The sequence below is a fragment of the Homo sapiens genome, chromosome 13 (genome assembly GCF_000001405.40).
Source record: "Homo sapiens chromosome 13, GRCh38.p14 Primary Assembly".
NCBI classification, from domain to species: Eukaryota; Metazoa; Chordata; class Mammalia; order Primates; family Hominidae; genus Homo; species Homo sapiens.
The window spans coordinates 43,490,187-43,510,541 of NC_000013.11; the positions used below are offsets into that span (position 1 = coordinate 43,490,187).

Here is a 20,355-nt window from a genome sequence, read left to right on the forward strand (position 1 = left end):
CTGCCTCGGCCTCCCAAAGTGCTGGGATTGCAGGCATAAGCCATTGCGCCCAGTCCCATCATCGTATTAATATTTTAGAAGCGCATAACTTGTTTAACTTCACAGGTTCATAGCAGGAGAGCAATTTGCCTTGACATGAATTATGCCTTGAGTCTCACCCATAGAGGATTTAGATGAGACTCTGGATTTTAGACTTTGAGTTGATGCTAGAACAAGTTTAGACTGGGCTACTGGGATGGAATCAATGTATTTTGCATGTGAGAGGACATAAATTTGGGAGAGGGGCCAGGGTAGAATATTATGGTTAAAATGTGTCCCCTTCAAAATTCAGGTGTTGGCAATGTGATATTATTAAGAAATTGGGCTTTTAAGAGGTGATTAGGCCATAAGGACTCCTCCCAGGTAAATGAGATTAAGGACCTTATTAAAAAATGTTTCACACAGCATTTGGATAATTGCTCTTCTGCCTTCTGCCATGTGAGGGCAAAGGGTTCCTCCCCTCCGGAATAACCATCTTGGAAGAAAGCTTCCCTTTCCAGAAAACTGAACCTGCCAGTGCATTCATCTTGAACTTTTCAGCCTCCAGAACTGTAAGCAAACAAATTTTTATGCTTTATAAATTACCCCATCTATTGTATTTTGGTATAGCAGCACAAATAGACTAAGAGAGTGAGCCTGCAATAAATACAGTATCCTTCTTTATCCCTTTCACTGAAAACCTGTTAACACTATTTTCCATTCATTCCAACTCATAACATCACAATTTATGCACTACCATTGTGTCAATTCATTCTTAGATTGCTATAAAGAAACATCTGAGGCTGGGTAATTCATAAGCAAAAATTTATTTTGGCTTATGGTTCTTCAGCCTATACAGGAAGCATGGCGCTGGTGTCTGCTTCTGGCGCATCCTCAAGAAGCTTACTATCATGGTGGAAGGCAAATGGGAGCAGGTCCATCACATGATGACAGCAGGGGCAAGAGAGAAAAGGGAGAGGTCCCAGACTCTTTTAAACAACCAGATCTTGCATGGACTTAGTGAGAACTCACCTATCACAAAGGACATGGTGCCAAACCATTCATGAGGGATCCACCCGCATGATCCCATCACCTCCTACCAGGCCCCACCTTCAGCATTGGGAATCACATTTCAACATGAGATTTGGAGGGGACAAACATCCAAATCATATCAACCATAACTTCTAGCTAGTATTTATTCTTGTAGTTCATCCTGAAAAGAGCCCAAAATGGGTCATCCTCAGGCTATAGTGGTGATAAACATTTGAACTAAAGTAAATAAGGCAGGGCACTGTGGCTCATGCCTGTAATCCCAGCACTCTGGGAGGCTGAGGAGGCAGATCATTTGAGGTCAGGAGTTTGAGACCAGCCTGGCCAACATGGTGAAACCCTGTCTCTACTAAAAGTACAAAAATAGCCAGGTATGGTGATGTGTGCCTGTAGTCCCAGCTACTTGAGAGGCGGAGGCAGGAGAATGGCTTGAACCCAGGAGGTGGAGGTTGCAGTGAGCTAACACCACTGCACTGCAGCCCGGGCAACAGAGTGAGACTCCATCTCAAAAATAAATAAAATAAGTGAATAAATGCATAGATGAGATAATTCTTAAAATGTAACTCTAATTATGTACATCCACTACTAAAGAACTTACAAGGGCTCCCTATTTTCCAAAGATCAGACCTAAGTTATTCACCAGAAATATCTGTTCCCACCATCCTCTGTAATCTCAAAACAGACTATTTCTGACCAAAACCCTTGGATCCAGTAGAAATGGTCTGCTCACTATGTTATATAGTGAATCTCAACTAGAGGTGCATCACAGGTGCATGGGGTGTCGCCTATGACAAAAGTGATAAATGACATCTCTCTTGCCCTGTTTCTCTGATCAGCTACTACTTTGTGAACCACCCTATGGCGAGGCCCATTTGGAAAGAAACTGAAGGATCTTTCCAAGACAACAGCCAGTAAGAAACTTGGGCCCTTTATCTATTAGCCTATGAGAAACTAAATCCTACCAACAACCAATGAGCTTGGAAATATATTCTGCCCCAGTTGAGCAGAGATGCTGTAGATGTTGCTCTAGTTGAGATGACTACAGGCCTGGCCATTGCTTTGACTGAAGCCTTGTGAGAGACCCAGAGTTGGAGGACCCAGCTAAGGCATGCTCAGATTCCTGACTGTTGTTTAAGCAATTAAAATAGGGGGTCAGGCCTGAAAAATTCCTGAGCAAATACAACCAGAGGTCTTAAAAATAGCCTTAATCTTGCTTAAATTGCCAACATAAGCAAAACTTAACTCAGGTCACTTCTGATAAATGCTTACATTAGAACTAAAACTTAACCCCAGTGCATCGTAAGCAGCTAATGAACATAATTATGTGACTGGACTTTCCAAGAAAGTACCAAAGAAAAGGCCATTTTGTCATTGCAAACCGGTCAAATAATTTTATTTTACCTTAGCATTTTCCCAATAAATACTTGCCTCATTCTGTCATTGAGACACTAAACCTCTTGCAATCTGGTGTTCTCCATCCATAAATTGTTTCTTACTCAAACTCTTTAAAATTTTATGCCTTAAATTTTAATGCAGTGATAGTTAATTTTATGTTGTTAACTTGGCTAGGCCATGGTACCTAGATATTTGCAAACACAAGTCTAGATGTTACTGTGAAGATGTTAAAATTAACATTTAATTAGTAGACACTGAGTAAAGCAGATTACTTTCCATAATGTGGGTGGGCCTTATCTAATCAGTTGAAGCACATAAGGCAAAACAGACTGAGGTCCCCCAAGAAAGGGAATTCTGCCTCCAGACTGTCTTTGGATTTGAGCTTCTTCCCTAGATCTCCAGCCTGCTGGCCTACCCTGCAGATTTTAGACTTGCCAGTGTCTATAACTACATGAGCTAATTCCTTAAAATATCTTAAGATTCTCTCTCTCTCTCTCTCTCCCCCCTCCCACTCCCTCTCCTGTTGGTTCTGTTTATCTGGAGAACCTTGACTGTTGAGATAGAACTGATAGGACCTATAGAGAGAGAGATGTATAATAAGGGATTTATTAGGGGAATTGGCTCACTTGATTATGGAGGCTGAGAAGTTCCATGATAGGCCAGCCATCTGGAAGTTGGAGAACAAGAGAAGCTGATAGCAAGGCTCAATTCAAGTCTGAAGGCCTTAGAACCAAGAAAGTAGTAACTCTCACACCAAGCCCAAAGGCCCAGGAGCCTAGGGGCATTGCTGGTGTAAGTCTTGGAGTCCAAGGACAACAGAGTCTGGACTTCTGATATCCAACAGCAGAAGGAAAAGGCCATCCTGGCTCCCAGAAAGAGCGAGAATTCACCATTCCTTTGCCTTCTTTTTCCATCTGGGAACCCCAGCTGATTGGATAGTAACCACCCACATTGAAGGCAGATCTTCCCCATTCAGTCCACTGACTCAAGTGCTAATCTCTTCTGGAAACACCTTCACAGATTCCCCTGGGGGCAGGCCTATCATTCTAATCAAATGCCAAAACAGTCCATCTGGGTTTCCCTTTCATCAGGAGAAGGACAAGCTCAGTGCCTACTGAAGCACTGAGAATAATTAATGCTTTACCAGCTATCTGGGTATCCCTTTGTTTTAGTCTATTCTCACGCTGCTACAAAGAACTGCTCGAGGCTGGGTAATTTAGAAAGGAAACAGGTTTAACTGACTCACAGTTCTGCATGGCTGGGGAGGCATCAGGAAACTTACAATCATGACAGAAGGTAAAGGGGAAGCAAGGCATCTTCTTCACAAGGTGCAGGAGGGAAAATAAATGGAGGAACTACCAAATACTTATAAAACCATCAGATCTCGTGAGAACTCACTATCATGAGAATGGCATGGGAAAAACTGCCCTTATGATTCAATTCCCTCCATCTGGTCTCTCCCTTGACATGTGGGGATTATGGGGATTACAATTCAAGATGAGATTTTGGGTGGGGACACAACCAAACCATATCATCCTTAGACCAGTCACACTGACACCCAATCAACCATCACAATAATCACAATTAACTAATACGAAGACCCACAGATACTGTGAGACTAATATGACAGCCCTCCCATCACATTTATCACAATGAATTATAATTTTTGGATTCCTCTCTAATATGGTAAGCTTCATGTTCTGTCAAGCAGAGACCACGTACATCATGTTTGCAAACAAATATTGTACTGTGTCCAGCACAGTGACTACATTCTTGTTAAACAAATGAGTCAAAACTAAAGCTTCTCCAGCAGTGTCTTCATATAACCTAAGAAAATGACGGAACAGTCCCCCAACTAACTTATTGTTTACGATTTATTTGTACCTTTACTGAAGGTACCTTTAATATTGTAAGAAGGCACATATATTCATTCTTTCACAATAATAAACAAAATAGTAGAGATGAGACAAATCATGACACACGGGAGTGACACACAGAGTGGAGTTTTATGGAGTTGGAGAATAAGATGATTGTGAAATTGAGAATAACAAATTTGAAATTTTATAGGCTGCTTTAGAGCAGAAGTATCAGATTTCAATTAAAAGTGTTTTTGAAGATGAACGTGGCATCAAAGTTTAGAATAGGAAAAAAGGCTATTGCTATTTGAATAGGTCAGTTAGACAGCAGTGGAAATATAAAAGTAGGGTTGGATGGAAGAAAAATGCAGAGAAAAAATTCCATCAATTAGATGAAATGGATAATGAGAAAAAAGATGCAGTCAACAATTATAGGAATATTTTGAGCCTAGGTGTGGGGGAGACTGTAAGAACACTGACAGAATGTGGAGATTCAAGAGGGGAGCTGGTATATGTCTGCATGCTTAGGGAGTATAAAATGATAGTGACTTTACTTTGAGATATGCCAAGTTTGAGAAATGCCACATTCCTTCCTATGTTTTATGAATACAGAAAATCTAAGTTTGATAAATGTTTCACCAAAGATCAATAGAGACTATCAAAGACTATCTCTAATTTATTGTTCAGCGAGTATAATATATGGTAAAATGCACTGATTTTAGGTGTACAGTTCACTAGGCTTTGATAAATATACCTTCCCAAGTAACCTACACACAAGTCAAGATACAAAACATTTCCATCACCCCTGAAAGTTTCCTTCTAGTCAAGCCCCACTCAAATGTGAAATTTCAATGTCTATCACCATAAATGGCTTTGCCTATACTTGAACTCTGTATATAATCATACGGTATACCAGATAGCATATGTTCTTTTATGCCTGGTTCCTTTTGTTCAATGTAATGATTATAATTCTTGTTAAATCTTCCAGTAGTTAATTCATAAGTATTCAATTGTATAAACGACTAATAACCTACTACATATAATATTACATTATATGAATTTACCATAACTTATCCATTCTCCTGTCTATGGTCATTTGGCTTGATCCAGTATTTGGCTATTAATAAACAAAGCTATTACAAACATTCTTCTCAGGGCTTTATGTTCTTATACAAAGCCATATATCCTTTCATTCTTAAGTAAATAGGTGTGAGGTTGCCAGGGCATTAAGTTTATAAGGAACCACTAGTTTTCAAAAAAATCCTGTAATATGTTATACCCTCAGGAGCACGGTACAAGAATTTCAGTATTACCACATCCTCACCAATGTTTGGTGAGCTCAGTCCTTTTATTTTTATCTTTTTCTTGTGGATGTGAAGTGGTACTTAAATTTACATTTCCATCATGGCTAATGATGTCATTATTATGGCTTCAAATGTTTATTAAACATTCTTATCTTCTTTTGTGAAGGTTCTGTTTAAGTAATTTGCCAATTGGAAGAAAAATATTTTCTTTGTATTTTTTGAGTTGTAAAGCTTTGTTAAATATTCTAGATTCAATTCCTTTTCATACATATGTATTGCAAACTATTAATATTTGCCCTTTCTGTGGCTTGCCTATTAAAAATGTTTTTTTATAGGGAGCCTTTAATGTTTGTGGAGTATAGTTAACTGATTTTTTTCTATAATGTGAGTGCTTTTAGTATCCTAAGAAATAGTTATCATCTTTTGACTTTTTCTAGAAATCTTATAAATTTTACTTTCATGTAAAGATCTAATTCAAAGTATATACTTTGAATCAATTTTTGTGTATGGTCTGAAGAAGGTGTTAAGGTTCATTCTGTTTCAATAATTGCTCTAGCAATTGGCTCTTTTTCTTTTTCTATTTTTTTTTTTAAGAGACTGTGTCTTACTCTGGTTGCCCAGGCTGGAGTGCAGTGGAACAATCATAGCTGACTGTAACCGAGTACCCCTGGGTTCAAGCAATCCTGCCTCAGCTTCCCAAGTAGCTGGAACTACTGATGTGCACCACCATGCTCAGCTACTTTGACTATTTATTTAGAGATAGGGTCTCGCTATGTTGCCCAGGCTGGTCTTAGACTCCTAGGCTCAAGCAGTTCTCCCACCTCGGCCTCCCACAGTGTTGGGATTATAGGCATGAGTCACCACACCCAGCCTCCATTTCTTAATGAGCCTTTCTCCTATATGTAACAAAATTGCTTTGTTATTAAATCAATTTACTGTATAAGTCTGTGTCTATTTCATGATAACATATTCTGTTCCATTGATCTATTTGTCTATCTTTGTCTAGTATCATATTTTCTTAACACTTTTATAGAAGTCTTGAAATCAGAAAGCTAGTCCCCCAACACTGTCATCTTTTTCTAAAATAATTTGACACTAATAAGTCCTTATAATTCTGTATAAATTTTAGAACCAATTTATTAATTTCCACCAAAAAAACATAAACTTTTGGGACTGTGTTAAATATACACATATTTTGAAATAAAAATCTTAATATAGAGTCTTCCATTTGCAATTTCATTTACCAAATGTTTCTTACTGTATAGAAATAGCACTGATACTTTACATTTATCTTGCATCCTGAAACCTTGTAAATTCAAGAGATTTTTGCTAAGTTCAAATAGATCTTTTTTAGACTCCATAGGATTTTCTATACAATTTTTTAAGTAAATTTTTGACTTGCTGTCTCCAAATATTTTTATTATTCTTTTCCAATCTATATACTTTTTATTTATTTTACTGGCCTGACTGCATTGGTTAGGACCTCCAGTACAATGTTGAACTGGTGAGAGTGAACACCCACATCTCTTTTCCTGATTTGGAGGGAAAGTATTCACTGTTAACATCCTTAGTTGAAGGTTTTTCACAGATTCCCTTTAACAGATTAGGAAAGATACCTTTTATTCCTAGTCTGAGTTTTTATCATGATTAGAGGTTGAATTTTATTAAATGCTGTCTCTCTAACTAGTAAGATAACCTTTTTTTCTATTAATGTGGATTGATTTTGAATATTAAAGAATGCATACATACTTGAAATTCATTTTTGTCAGGATATATTACTGTATGTTAATACATAATAACACATCACTGCAGTGATTATGTGTTATTTCCTAATTGTATGTTAAACATTTTTGTGTCTATGATCATAAGGCATATCGATGTGTGACTTTTTTAATAATGTCCTTATCAGGACTTGGTATTAGAATTACAAAGCTCTCAAACAATGACTAGAAGTGTTCTCCCCACCTCTATTTCCCGTCTTTGTTTAAGACTGGTATTTCTTCTTAAATGTTTGAAGGAATTCATTAGTGAAAGCATCTGGATCTGGAGTGTTCTTTGTGGGAAGCCTCTGAATTATAAATTCAATTTAGTTAACAAATACAGAGCTATTCCCATTTTCTGTTTCTTCTAATATAAGATTTAGTAAATTTTATCTTATAAAAAAAACTTGTCCATTTCATCTAAGATAAGTTTGTTTCTTATGGCTTCTCATACCCTATAATAATAATTCCTTCACTTGACTAAACCATATATATTTCACTGGACCTCCTTTCTTGGTACATTAAACTCGCTGGTACTTTTTCCTCTTCTGAGAGCTTCTCCAGCCCTTACTGACATAATTTTGCACTGCCATGTGTTTTCAGTCATCTTTATTAGTTTGTTTTACCTTTGAAAAACAGATTATAGTGTCCTCAGAGGCGGAAATATCTTAAACTTTCATTGTTCTCCATGGAATTTAGCATAGTCTGTTAACATTTTATATGTGTTTCTGAGATTATGGATTTGTTCACTGTTGGTTAGCTTGATATCTATTACAGATGTGCTTGGAGCATCTTATAGTAATAACAGGAAGCATGAAAATGTTAGAAAATAATGATAATAATAACTAAGATTGGACACATCAAAGTAACAGAAGCCAACCTTAAAGCGCTTCCAATGGCCAAACTGCAACAATTTGAGAAACAATAAATAATAATACTGGACTATATACCTCAAAGAATAAAATAATGATCCATGAGTTCATAATATTGTCAATAGTCAACTGAATGACTGAATCAATAAATGGGTGAGAAAAGTATCTTTCTTGCAGAATTCTAAATTTAAAAAAAAAGATGGAATGAGAGAAACAATAATTAGAACATCTAGTTAGAACTGCTACAGGCAAAACTCAATGATGAATACAAAAAAATGAGTGGCCAAAAGCCACTCATTTAACAAGGAGCAGGACAGTTAAAATGACTCAAAGTAGTATCCCTAACATATTAATTACTATGGTGGCTTTTAACATGTGTCTACAATTCTTTTATATTCTTCCATCAGGAGATGGAACTTAATTTTTTTCCCCTTGACTGGATGATAGAATTAGTGACTTGCTTGAAACTAATATGGAAGAGGAAAGTAGTAATTGTGGAGAAACCTGGCAAGCACCACCTTAATCAAGTAATCAAGGTTCACACATCACCATTTAAAGTCATGTTGATATCATGTACCTTTGATATTATGATAAATGTACTTTACCACTGTGGTATTTTTCCCTAATATCCCTAATGCTCTTCTAACTGTGATAACATATTAGGAAACTAATTAATATTCTATGAAATATCAGACCTTTACTCTTAAATATTGTCAAGGTCATGAAAATCAAGGAAAACCTAAAACTGTCACAGATTGGTGGATACTAAAGAAATATGATCTCTGTGGTATCCTAGACTGGATCCTGGAACAAAAAAGGGACACAGTTGAAAAACTACTTAAAAAAAGAGTAAAGTATAGACTATAGTTAATTGTATTGTGTAAATGTTAATTTCTTAGTTTGATAAATATACTATATTTAGGGGCAAGCAAGAGTAATTTGGAAACATCTTTGGTAACAGCTATAACCACTACTTCCAAAAAAGACACAGGTTGCCAATAGAAAAATTAATAATAAAGGTCAATATCCACAATACAAAGACCCTGGACACAAATCCACTTACTCACAGACACTGACACCCGGCCCACCCACAGCCCTCATCAACAGGGCCACCTGCAGACCCTGTCAAATGTCCTGCCCAGAATCTCTTTCCAGGATGACTTGTGGAGGGCTTTCCCTACCAAAACCAGTCTATAAAGATGGAGAGAGGTGACTGCTTCTTCAAGTGCACAGACACCAACACAAAGATACAAGGATCACAAAGAATCAGGAAAATGACACCACCAAAAAGACAAAATAAAGCTCCAGTAACCAACCCTAAAGAAATGGAGACCTATAACTGCCAGAAAAAGAATTCAAACAATTATCTTAAAGAAGCTCAGTGAGCTACAAGAGAACAAATCAGGAAAATAAATGAACAAAATTAGAAGTTCAACAAAGAGATAGAAACCATAAAAAAGAACCAAATAGAAATTCTGGAGCTGCAGTTATTATGACTGAACTAAAAAATTAAACGGTTTCAACAGCAGATTCAATCAAGCAGAAGAAAGAATAAACTCAAGGATATGTCATTTCGAATTATTAAAGAAGAAAGAAAAGTGTGAGGAAATTCCACTAGACTTAAGAGCAAGCAGACTAATCAGCAAGTAAGCTAATATATGGACTAGCAAGCAACATCAGCAAGCAAACTAATATATGCATTATGGGACACTCAGAAGAAGAGAAAAAGGAACAGAAAGCTTATTTAAAGAAATAATGGCTGAACTTTTTAAAACCTGAAGACGGAAATGGACATTCAAATTCATGAGAGAACTCAAATAGGTGGAACCTAAAGAGTTCTAGGAGAAATTACTATTAAATTGTCAAAAGTCAAAGGCAATTTTGAAAGCAAGAGAAAAAGGACTCCTCACATATATAAATCTCCATACAACTATTAGCAGATTTTTCAGCAGAAATGTTGCAGGCAAGATGAGAGTGGGATGTTATATTCAAAGTGCTGAAAGAGAAAAAAAGTTGCCATCTAGAAATACTATATCTGGTAAAAATGTCCTTTAAAAATGCATGAGAGACAAAGATGTTCCAAGACAAATGAAAACTAAGGAAGTATGTCAACACTGGGTCCTCCTTATAAGAAGTGTGAAAGGGAGTTCTTCAAGTTGTTACAAAAGGATACTAAACAGCAACATGAAAGTATATGAAAATATAAATCTTGGCTGGTAAAGGTAAATACACAGACTAATACATAACAATGTATATTGTAATGAAGATGTATAAATTACTTATAATCCTAATATAAAGTAAAAAGATTAGTTTTAAGAATAACTATTACCAAAAATATTAATGCACAATATAAAAAGTAAACTATCACATCAATAACTGTGTAATAAACATAGTTTTTGTGTGTTATTGAAGATATGTTATCTTAAAATAGACTGTTATAAGAAGTTTTATGTACACCTCATGGTAATTACAAAAGTATAGTAGATACAAAAGATAGAATAAAAGCTTATTACTACAAAAGCTCACATAATAAAACAGCAAAAAGGAAGAGGAACAAAAGAACTATAAAACAAGACAACTAACAATATAACAATAGTATTTTACTTATCAATAATTTAAGTGGATCAAACTCACCAAATAAATATAAAAATAAGATTCAACTATGTGTTGTCTACAAGAGAAGAACTTTAAATTTAAGGACACACAGACTGAAAGTAAAAGAATGAAAAAAAAATACTCAAAGCAAACAGTAAACAAAATAAAGCAGGGGTAGCTATTTTTGAAATATACAAAATGCTTTTAAGTCAACTGTCACAAGAGACAAAGATCATTATATAGGGGAAAAAAGAGTCAGTTTAACAGGAAGATAACAGTAGTAGACTTCAATAACTCATCTTCAATATGGATTGATCACACAGAAAGTTATTAAGGAAAACAGCAGTCTTGAATAACACTATATACCAAATGGACCTAACAGAAATGTACAGAACATTCTACCCAGCAGCAGTAGAGCAAACATTGTTCTCAAGTGCATATAGAACATTCTCTAGGGTAGATCACATGCTTGGTCACAAAACAAATCTTTATTTTAAAAAGATTAAAATCATACCAAGTATCTTTCTGACCACAGTGAAATCAAACACAATATCAATAACAAAAAAAGAGAAAATTCACAAATACATGGAAATTTGAAAACACACTCCTAAACAACTATTGGCTCACAAAAAGAAATGAAAAGGAAATTTAAAAAGTATGTTGAGAAAAATAAAAATGAAAAATATACTAAAACTTATTGGATGCATCAAAAGAAATAATAAGAGGGAATTTTATAGTATAAACACCTACCTTAACAAAAAAAAAAAAGCTAAATGAATGACCTAATTGTATGCTTTAAAGAACTAGAAAAAGAACAAACCAGGCCAAAAGCTAACAGAAGAAAGAAAATATTAAACGTTAGAACAGAAATAAATGAACTAGAAAACAGAAAAACATTAGAAAATAATATAACAAAGAGTTGGTTTTTTGAAAAGATAAAATACACAAATTCTTGCCCAGACTAAGAAAAAAAGATTCAAATAAGTCAAATAAAAGAGGGGCCATTATAACTGATGCCACAAAAATAAAAAATATCATAATAAACTATTATATGTGACAATATATACGAACACATTGGATAACCTAGGAGAAATGAATACATTATTAGAAACACAGGACCTACCACACTGAATCATGAAGAAATAGAAAGCCTAATCGGATCAATGACAAATAAGGAGAGCTAATAAGTAATCAAAAACCACCTACTAAGTAAAAGCCCAGTATCAGATGGTTCCACAGGTGAATTCTATCAAACATTTAAAGAATGAATGCCAATATTCTTAAACTCTCAAAAACTAGAAGAGGAAACACTTTCAAACTCATTTTATGAGTCCAGACACCCCAATACAAACCAAGACAAAGATTCCATGAGAAAAGAAAATAGGCCAATATCTCTGTTGAACATTAATGTAAAAATTTTCAACAAAATAGCAGCAAACCAAATTCAATAGTGCATTAAAAGGGTCATACACCACGAGCAAATGGGATTTATTCCTGGGATGCAAGGATGGCTCAACATATGAAAATCAATCAATGTGATACATCATAGTAACAGAATAAAGGATAAAAATCACATGATAATATTAATAGATGCAGAAAAGCACTTTATAAAATTAAACACGCTTTCATAATAAAAACTTAACAAATTAGGTAAAGAAGAAACTTACCTTAACAAAATAAAGGCCTTACATGAAAAGCCCATATGTATCATCACACTCAACGGTGAAAAACTGAAAGATCTTATTGAATCCAGAACAAGTAAGGATATCCACTCTTACCATTTCTATTCAAATGAGTACTGAAATTCTAGCCAGAGCAATCAGGCAATAAAAAGAAATATATATATATTTTTTACTTTGTAAAGGAAATAATTGGGAAGAAAAAATAAAATAATCTGTTTGCTGATGACATGATTTTATATACAGAAAACTCTAAGAAGTCCATACACACAGAAAGTGTTATAAATAATAAATTTAGTAAAGTTACAGGTTGTAAAAATCAACATATAAAAATTAGTTCTGTTTCTATACATAAACAATTAGCTATCTGAAAAGGAAATTAAAACAATCCCATGTACAACTGCATCAAAAAGAACGAAGTACTCAGGAATAATCTTTACCAAGGAGGTGAAAGACTTGTACACAAAAACTGTAAAACACCGATGAAAGAAATTAAATCACACACAAATAAATAAAAATCCCATGTTCATGGAAAGACTTGAGATATCAAACAAAAATATTTTGATTTGAAGAATATCAAAATGTTCACACTATCCAAAGCAATCTACAGATTCAATGAAACCTCTATCAGAATCCCAGTGGCATTTTTTTACAGAAACAAAAAATACAATCCTAAAACGTATATGAAACCATAAAAGACCCTGAATAGCCAAAGCAATTTTGATCAAAGGAAAATCTGGAAGTATCACATTTCCTGACTTCAAAATATAGTACAAAGCTATAGTAATCAAAAGAGGATAACCTGGCATAAAAACAGGCATATGGAACAATGGAGCAAAGTAGAGAATCCAGAATAAACCCAGGCATGTAAGATCCAATGATCTGCAACAAGGGTGCCAAGACTAAACAAATGATGGTGGAAAAAGTGGACATCCATATACAACAGAATGAAATTTTACCCTTACTGTTACACTGTATACAATAAAAACTCAAAATGGAATAAAGACTTAAATGGAAGACCCGAAACCACAAATTTTCTAGAAGAAAAGCTCCATAATGTTGACTTCAGCAATGATTTATTGGATATGATACCAAAGGACAGGCAACAAGAGCAAGCAATAGATATGTGGGATCACATCAATCTAGAAAACTACACCACAAAGGAAATAATCAACAAAATGAAAAGGTAACTTACAAAATGGGAGAAAACCTTTGCAAAATGGGGGAAAATAATTTATCTAATAAAGGGTTAATGTCAAAAATATATCAGGAATTCCTGCAACTCAATAGCAAAAAAATCCAATAAAAATGGGTAAAGAAACTGAGTAGACATTTCTCTGAAGAAGACATACAGGTATATGAAAACATACTCAACAGTACCAATCATCAGGGAAATTCAAATCAAAACTGAGATACCACCTCACACCTGTTAGGCTATTATAAAAAATAAAAAGATAACAAATGTTGGTGAGGACACAGAGAAAAAGGAACCTTTATAAGCTGTTGGTGGGAATGTAAATTGGTGCAACCACTGTGGAAAACTGTATGGGGATTCCTTAAAGAATCAGAACTACCACTGGATAGTAGAAATCCCACTTCTGAGTATATAACCAAAGGAATCAAAGTCTGGGTCACAAAGAGATTTCTGCACTATCATGCTCACTGAAGCATTATTCACAATAGGCAAGATATAGAAACAACCTAAATACCTGTTGACAGATGGACAAATAAAGAAAATGTGGTATATACATACAATGGGATATTATTCAGCCTTGAAAAAGAAAATCCTGTCATTTGCAACAACATGGATGAATCTGGAAGACATTATGCTCAGTAAACTAGGCCAGGCACAGAAGGAAAAATGCTACATGATACTACTAATATGAGGAATCTAAAATAATCAAACTCATAAAAGCAGATAGAATGGTGGTTGCCAAGGGCCAGAGGAAGGGCAAAATGTGGAGGTATTAGTCAAAGGGTAAAAATGTTCAGTTATAAAAGACAAGTCCTAGGGCTCTACTGTACAGTAGAGTGCCTATAGTTAATATTTTGTAAGACTTAAAATTTGCAGTGACATTATTTGCTCGATCTTATGTTAAATGTTCTTACTGCAAAATAATATGAAACTTTTGGAGGTGATTAATATGTTTATGGCATAGATTATGGTGATGGTTTCATGGTTATATACTTATCTCTAACTCACCAAGTTACATACATTAAATATGTAAAAATTTTACATTATTCTTACCTCAAAGTGATTTCTCTTTAAAAAGATCAATATCCAAAACCACTCTGACTTCAAAAGTCAGGTAGATAGTACTGACTTTTTTAGGAAATAAAAGAAACACCTATCTTTTGGTGAGGTAATATCCAATTATTTTACATTTTAACTTTCAAACAACTGTAAAGAGACATGAGATTTATACTTGTTCTAGATGCTTCCAGTTCAACATGGTAATCGGATCACATCAACTTATTCCATGCCTTCTCAGGTTCCCAAATAGCCATAAATCTACAAAGCCAAAGAAAATTGGAGTGAATGAGGAAATGCTAGAAAAATTCTAGATGATAGAATTGAACAGGACTGAGAAAGCTACAGCCTAAGTACATGTGAGAAGAAAGGATGATCAAAAGAAGGCAGAAATTTGAGAGAATTCTGTAGGGAAACAACCAGATTTCTAGACTATACCCTAAAAAGCAAGATATCAGGCTATAATCTCTGATACAAAGTTTGCAGTCAAATTTTCTTTCTTAAATATAATTGTATAACACTTACTGACAGACATTTGAAGAAAGTTGGAAAGATAAAGAAGTCTGCAATCAACAAACAAAAATAACCCTTGAGAAGTGTCTGTTTATATCCTTCGCCCACTTTTTGATGGGGTTGTTTTTTTCTTGTAAATTTGTTTGAGTTCGTTGTAGATTCTGGATATTAGCCCTTTGTCAGATGAGTATGTTGCAAAAATTTTCTCCCATTCTGTAGGTTGCCTGTTCACTCTGATGGTGGTTTATTTTGCTGTGCAGAAGCTCTTTAGTTTAATTAGATCCCATTTGTCAATTGTGGCTTTTGTTGCCGTTGCTTTTGGTGTTTTAGACATGAAGTCCTTGCCCATGCCTATGTCCTGAATGGTATTGCCTAGGTTTTCTTCTAGGGTTTTTATGGTTTTAGGTCTAACATGTAAGTCTTTAATCCATCTTGGATTAATTTTTGTATAAGGTGTAAGGAAGGGATCCAGTTTCAGCTTTCTACATATGGCTAGCCAGTTTTCCCAGCACCATTTATTAAACAGGGAATCTTTTCCCCATTTTTTGTTTTTGTGAGGTTTGTCAAAGATCAGATAGTTGTAGATATGCGGCATTATTTCTGACGGCTCTGTTCTCTTCCATTGGTCTATATCTCTGTTTTGGTACCAGTACCATGCTGTTTTGGTTACTGTAGTCTTGTAGTATAGTTTGAAGTCAGGTAGCATGATGCCTCCAGCTTTGTTCTTCTTATGCAGCCAAAAAACACCTGAAAAAATGCTCATCATTACTGGCCATCAGAGAAATGCAAATCAAAACCACAATGAGATACCATCTCACACCAGTTAGAATGGCGATCATTAAAAAGTCAGGAAACAACAGGTGCTGGAGAGGATGTGGAGAAATAGGAACACTTTTACACTGTTAGTGGGACTGTAAACTAGTTCAACCATTGTGGAAGTCGGTGTGGCGATTCCTCAGGGATCTAGAACTAGAAATACCATTTGACCCAGCCATCCCATTACTGGGTATATACCCAAAGGATTATAAATCATGCTGCTATAAAGACACATGCACACATATGTTTATTGTGGCACTATTCACAATAGCAAAGACTTGGAACCAACCCAAATGTCCAACAACGATAGACTGGATTAAGAAAATGTGGCACATATACACCATGGAATACTATGCAGCCATAAAAAATGATGAGTTCATGTCCTTTGTAGGGACATGGATGAAGCTGGAAACCATCATTCTCAGCAAACTATCGCAAGGACAAAAAACCCAACACCGCATGTTCTCACTCATAGGTGGGAATTGAACAATGAGAACACATGGACACAGGAAGGGGAACATCACACAACGGGGAATGTTGTGGGGTGGGGGGACGGGGGAGGGATAGCATTAGGTGATATACCTAATGCTAAATGACGAGTTAATGGGTGCAGCACATCAACATGGCACATGTATACATATGTAACAAACCTGCACATTGTGCACATGTACCCTAAAACTTAAAGTATAATAAAAAAAAACCCTTGAGGGAATTTGAGTGATTGACAGAATAGAACTTTTAAAACTCTAAAAACATAAAGAAGATTTTATTAAAGAAATAATCAGACAATTATCAATTTTACAAAAATCAATATAAAGAAAATTGTGTTTAATAATTCTTCCAGAAAGCTTTTAAAAACTGAAAGAGAAATGAAAAACAGAAGACAAAAGACAAAGGATATAGAGAATCCAACCAGAAGACCCAACTACTAAGAATGCCAAGGAGAATTCCCAGTAAGAAAAGCAAAGGAGAGGAATTCAAAAGAAATTTCCACAAGTGAAGGTCAGGTGTTTTCAAAATTAAAGGGCTCATCAAGAGGTAAACATAATCAATGAAGAAAAGAATCATAACCAGATATGTTTTTGTAAGAGTTCCTACAGATAAGTTTCTAAAAACTGAGGAGGAAAAAATTAGTAACTTACAAAGGGGCAGGAATCGAATTTCTTGTCAGCAATACTGGATACTAAAAAATAGAGCAATGCCTTCAAATTTCCAAGGGAAAATTGTTTTTAACTTATATGTCTTAATCTAGCCAAATCTAGCCAAAATAATAAGTCACTTTCAGATATACAAAGATTCGGAGTATTTACTTCCCACATGTCCTTTCTGGAAAAATTCTTGAGGATGTGCTTCAGCAGTAAATAAAATTAAAGTAAGAAAAGGCATGAATCCAAGCAAGAGCAAGGCAAGATGCCTGTGTACCAGTTACCCCAACCTGGGACAGAGGGAGGTATCTAGGAAAAAGGGGATTTCTAAATATTTTATTCTATTTCCTGAGGTGAAAGTACTTAAAAATGCAATAAAGGCAGATTACACAAAGAAAAGTAAAAGCAATTAGAAACTCTAGGAAAAACAAATACAATCATAGTATACAACTTAGATCAGTAGTTATAACTACATATTCATACCTATATATTGATTTTTAACCATTAGAATCAACCTAACAATATTACAACTAGAGTTGTAATATATTTGAAAAACATTATATCAACCTTAATAATTTAAAATTAAAAGCACATATGAGAGAAACTGGAAGGCATTAAAGGGAGGAGTTATAGAAAGAATGATTGTTATGGTCTGAACTTGTCCAAAATTTGAAACTCAATCCTCATTGTGCTGTTATTAAGAGGTGGATGGAAGCTTTGGGGAAGTGACAAAGTCACGAGAGCTCCATCCTCATGAATGGATCAGTGCCTTATAGATGGGCTGGAGGGAACTGGCGTAGGTCCTTTTAGCTCTTCTGCTATGTGAGGATATGGCATTTTCTTCTTTTGCTCTTCCTCCTCTTCTATGTGAGGATGCTTCCATGAAAACACACTATGGATAGAACAGGCCTACACTAGACACAGAAACTGCCAGCACCATGATCTTGTGCTTTCCAACCTCTAAACTTAGAAGAAACAAATTTCTGTTCTTTATATATCACCTAGTGTCAGGTATTTTTGTTACAGCAACACAGACTAAGTAATAGTCTCATCTTAAAAAGGAATCATTTGGTACTGTATATGATTGAGATAGAAATGAAAGAATAAGTATATTATTCAAAGGTATACAGGTAACGAGAACTTCTGGGTTTTCCTCTCTAAAATATTTAGAGGTTTTACTCTCTAAAATAGGAGGGTATTTTAGCAATGGGGAGCTGCTAGATCATTATGTATCACAGTGATTAAGTCAACAGATAATATTGAAATTTTATAAATCAAGAAATTGTGATCACATACACATGCAATACTTGATTCAGCCAATATTACACAGTTAGAACTAAAAAGGAACTAACAAAAATATAAACATAGAAACAGCTAAAAAAAATTATTAGTTTTTCTTTGGGCAGTAAGTCTAGAGGTGGGATCCAGGACTATAGTTTTTCATTATAAGCCCTCCTATACTCTTTAATTTTTAAAAGCATATATATGCATTTATTGATCAAATAAATGTGAAACATTTATTAATGTTTAAAAATCCATCTGGAAATCATCCAGCTAGACTAATGCTTCATCATAATGCAGCTCTCAGCATTTAAATAAGGTCTTGTTGGTAATTCAGAAATTACTACATTTTAAAGCTCAAATAGCAATGTCTTCTACACATTCTACTCTGTGGTAGGAAATATCACAGCAATATTTTAGAACAGATGACAAAATAGCCTATATCAGGGATATTAGGTGTTAAAGAAATAAAACTGGTTAAAATATTTGTTAAAAATATGAGGTGAATAAATGCCTGTCCTAATGAGTCTCCCCACTAGTATCTAACACATGTTAGAGAAAGAGGAACACTGGTCTCTCTGCTCACTAGTACAACAATGGATGACTGCTTAAATTGCAGCCATCCTGAAATACCTTGAGTCTGTCATTTATTCCCTCTGATTTCCTATGAGAAAGATTACAAATTGCCCACTAGAATCAGGGTCTGTGAGCCACATCCTCCACTTTCATTTCTAGGACATAATACCTCTGCCGTCAATCACAGCACAGCTCAAATTTTTTGAAGCATAGTGGGATACAACAGAATTGTCACTTAAAATTTGGAATACATCTGATGTAGCACGAACTGGACTTTCTAAGTGTGTTAACTACTCTGCAATATAGATTTGGAAAATGTGAAAATGAAGTGGAAAACCTTAAAAAGACAAATGTCCAAATAAGAAAGATTACAGTCTGTGGATGGTATTCTCATTCATCTTCAAATTTCCTTTGCTTTGTGTTTAAACCAAATGAAGAGGTTTTCCAATGTCATTTGACACAGGCAAACATCTGAAATTCAACAGCAAAGTCCCCTTCTTGCAGAAGCCTTAAAAATGAAAGCTGGTTTGCTTTTCCTAAAGAAAGAAAAAAAAAATGTCTCCCCAACCCCCAACACCCACCCTTTCCTGAAAGAGAATTTTCCAGCAGCTGGAAGTTTCCAGACCTATGTTCTCAGTGTTGGACAGCCTTATATTTACCCATTTTTAGCAAAATTAGGGCTCAGAAAGTTTCATGAGTAGTGGTACACATCAGACGTCTGTTGGAAGTCATTGTGGAAAGGGTTTCTCTGTACATATGTATAGATCTAAGTAGGAGATGGAAGTCACCAAAATAATTTTGTAACAGAACAGCAACAACAAAAAGAATAATCTATAAATATTATAGGACTTTCTTGGTGTGGATAAAATCAGAGCTCAAAAAGAGCCTCCAGATCAATCCATGTGAGATTTTACAGGCCTTCTAGAATTGGTAACAGACAAGGTTTTGCTCTCCTGCCAGCCGGCACTCCTATTTCTGATGCATTCATACAGAGTGATGGTTGTTACTAACATTGTAATTACTTATACAATCCTTTTAAGAATGTAAGTTCCATGAGAGCAAGAATGTTATATCATCCACTACTGTATTCAATCATTTAGAAGAGTGTCTGACATATAATAGGTATTCTGTAAAATTTTTAAATGAATAAACACCTTGTAAATTTACTGTAAAGAGCAAAGGAATAAGTACAGGTGAAAGTGCTTTGCAAATTAAATTCTAAAAGGTGAGCAGTTGTTACTCTG

At 35.0% G+C, this 20,355-nt stretch overlaps 1 protein-coding gene across 31 annotated transcripts in view; it reads right to left on the minus strand.

The window, feature by feature from the left end:
• The window catches only part of ENOX1 (ecto-NOX disulfide-thiol exchanger 1), a 573,843-nt gene that overhangs the window by 277,057 nt on the left and 276,431 nt on the right, over window positions 1-20,355 (minus strand). Inside the window, exon 1 of one of the 31 annotated variants that reach the window (XM_024449374.2) lies at window positions 15,306-16,040. The exons of the other annotated variants lie outside the window; for them this stretch is intronic. The gene's annotated coding sequence lies outside the window, so the exon portion shown is untranslated. Of the gene's footprint in view, window positions 1-15,305; window positions 16,041-20,355 lie in introns of those variants that run through there. 31 annotated transcript variants of the gene reach the window in all.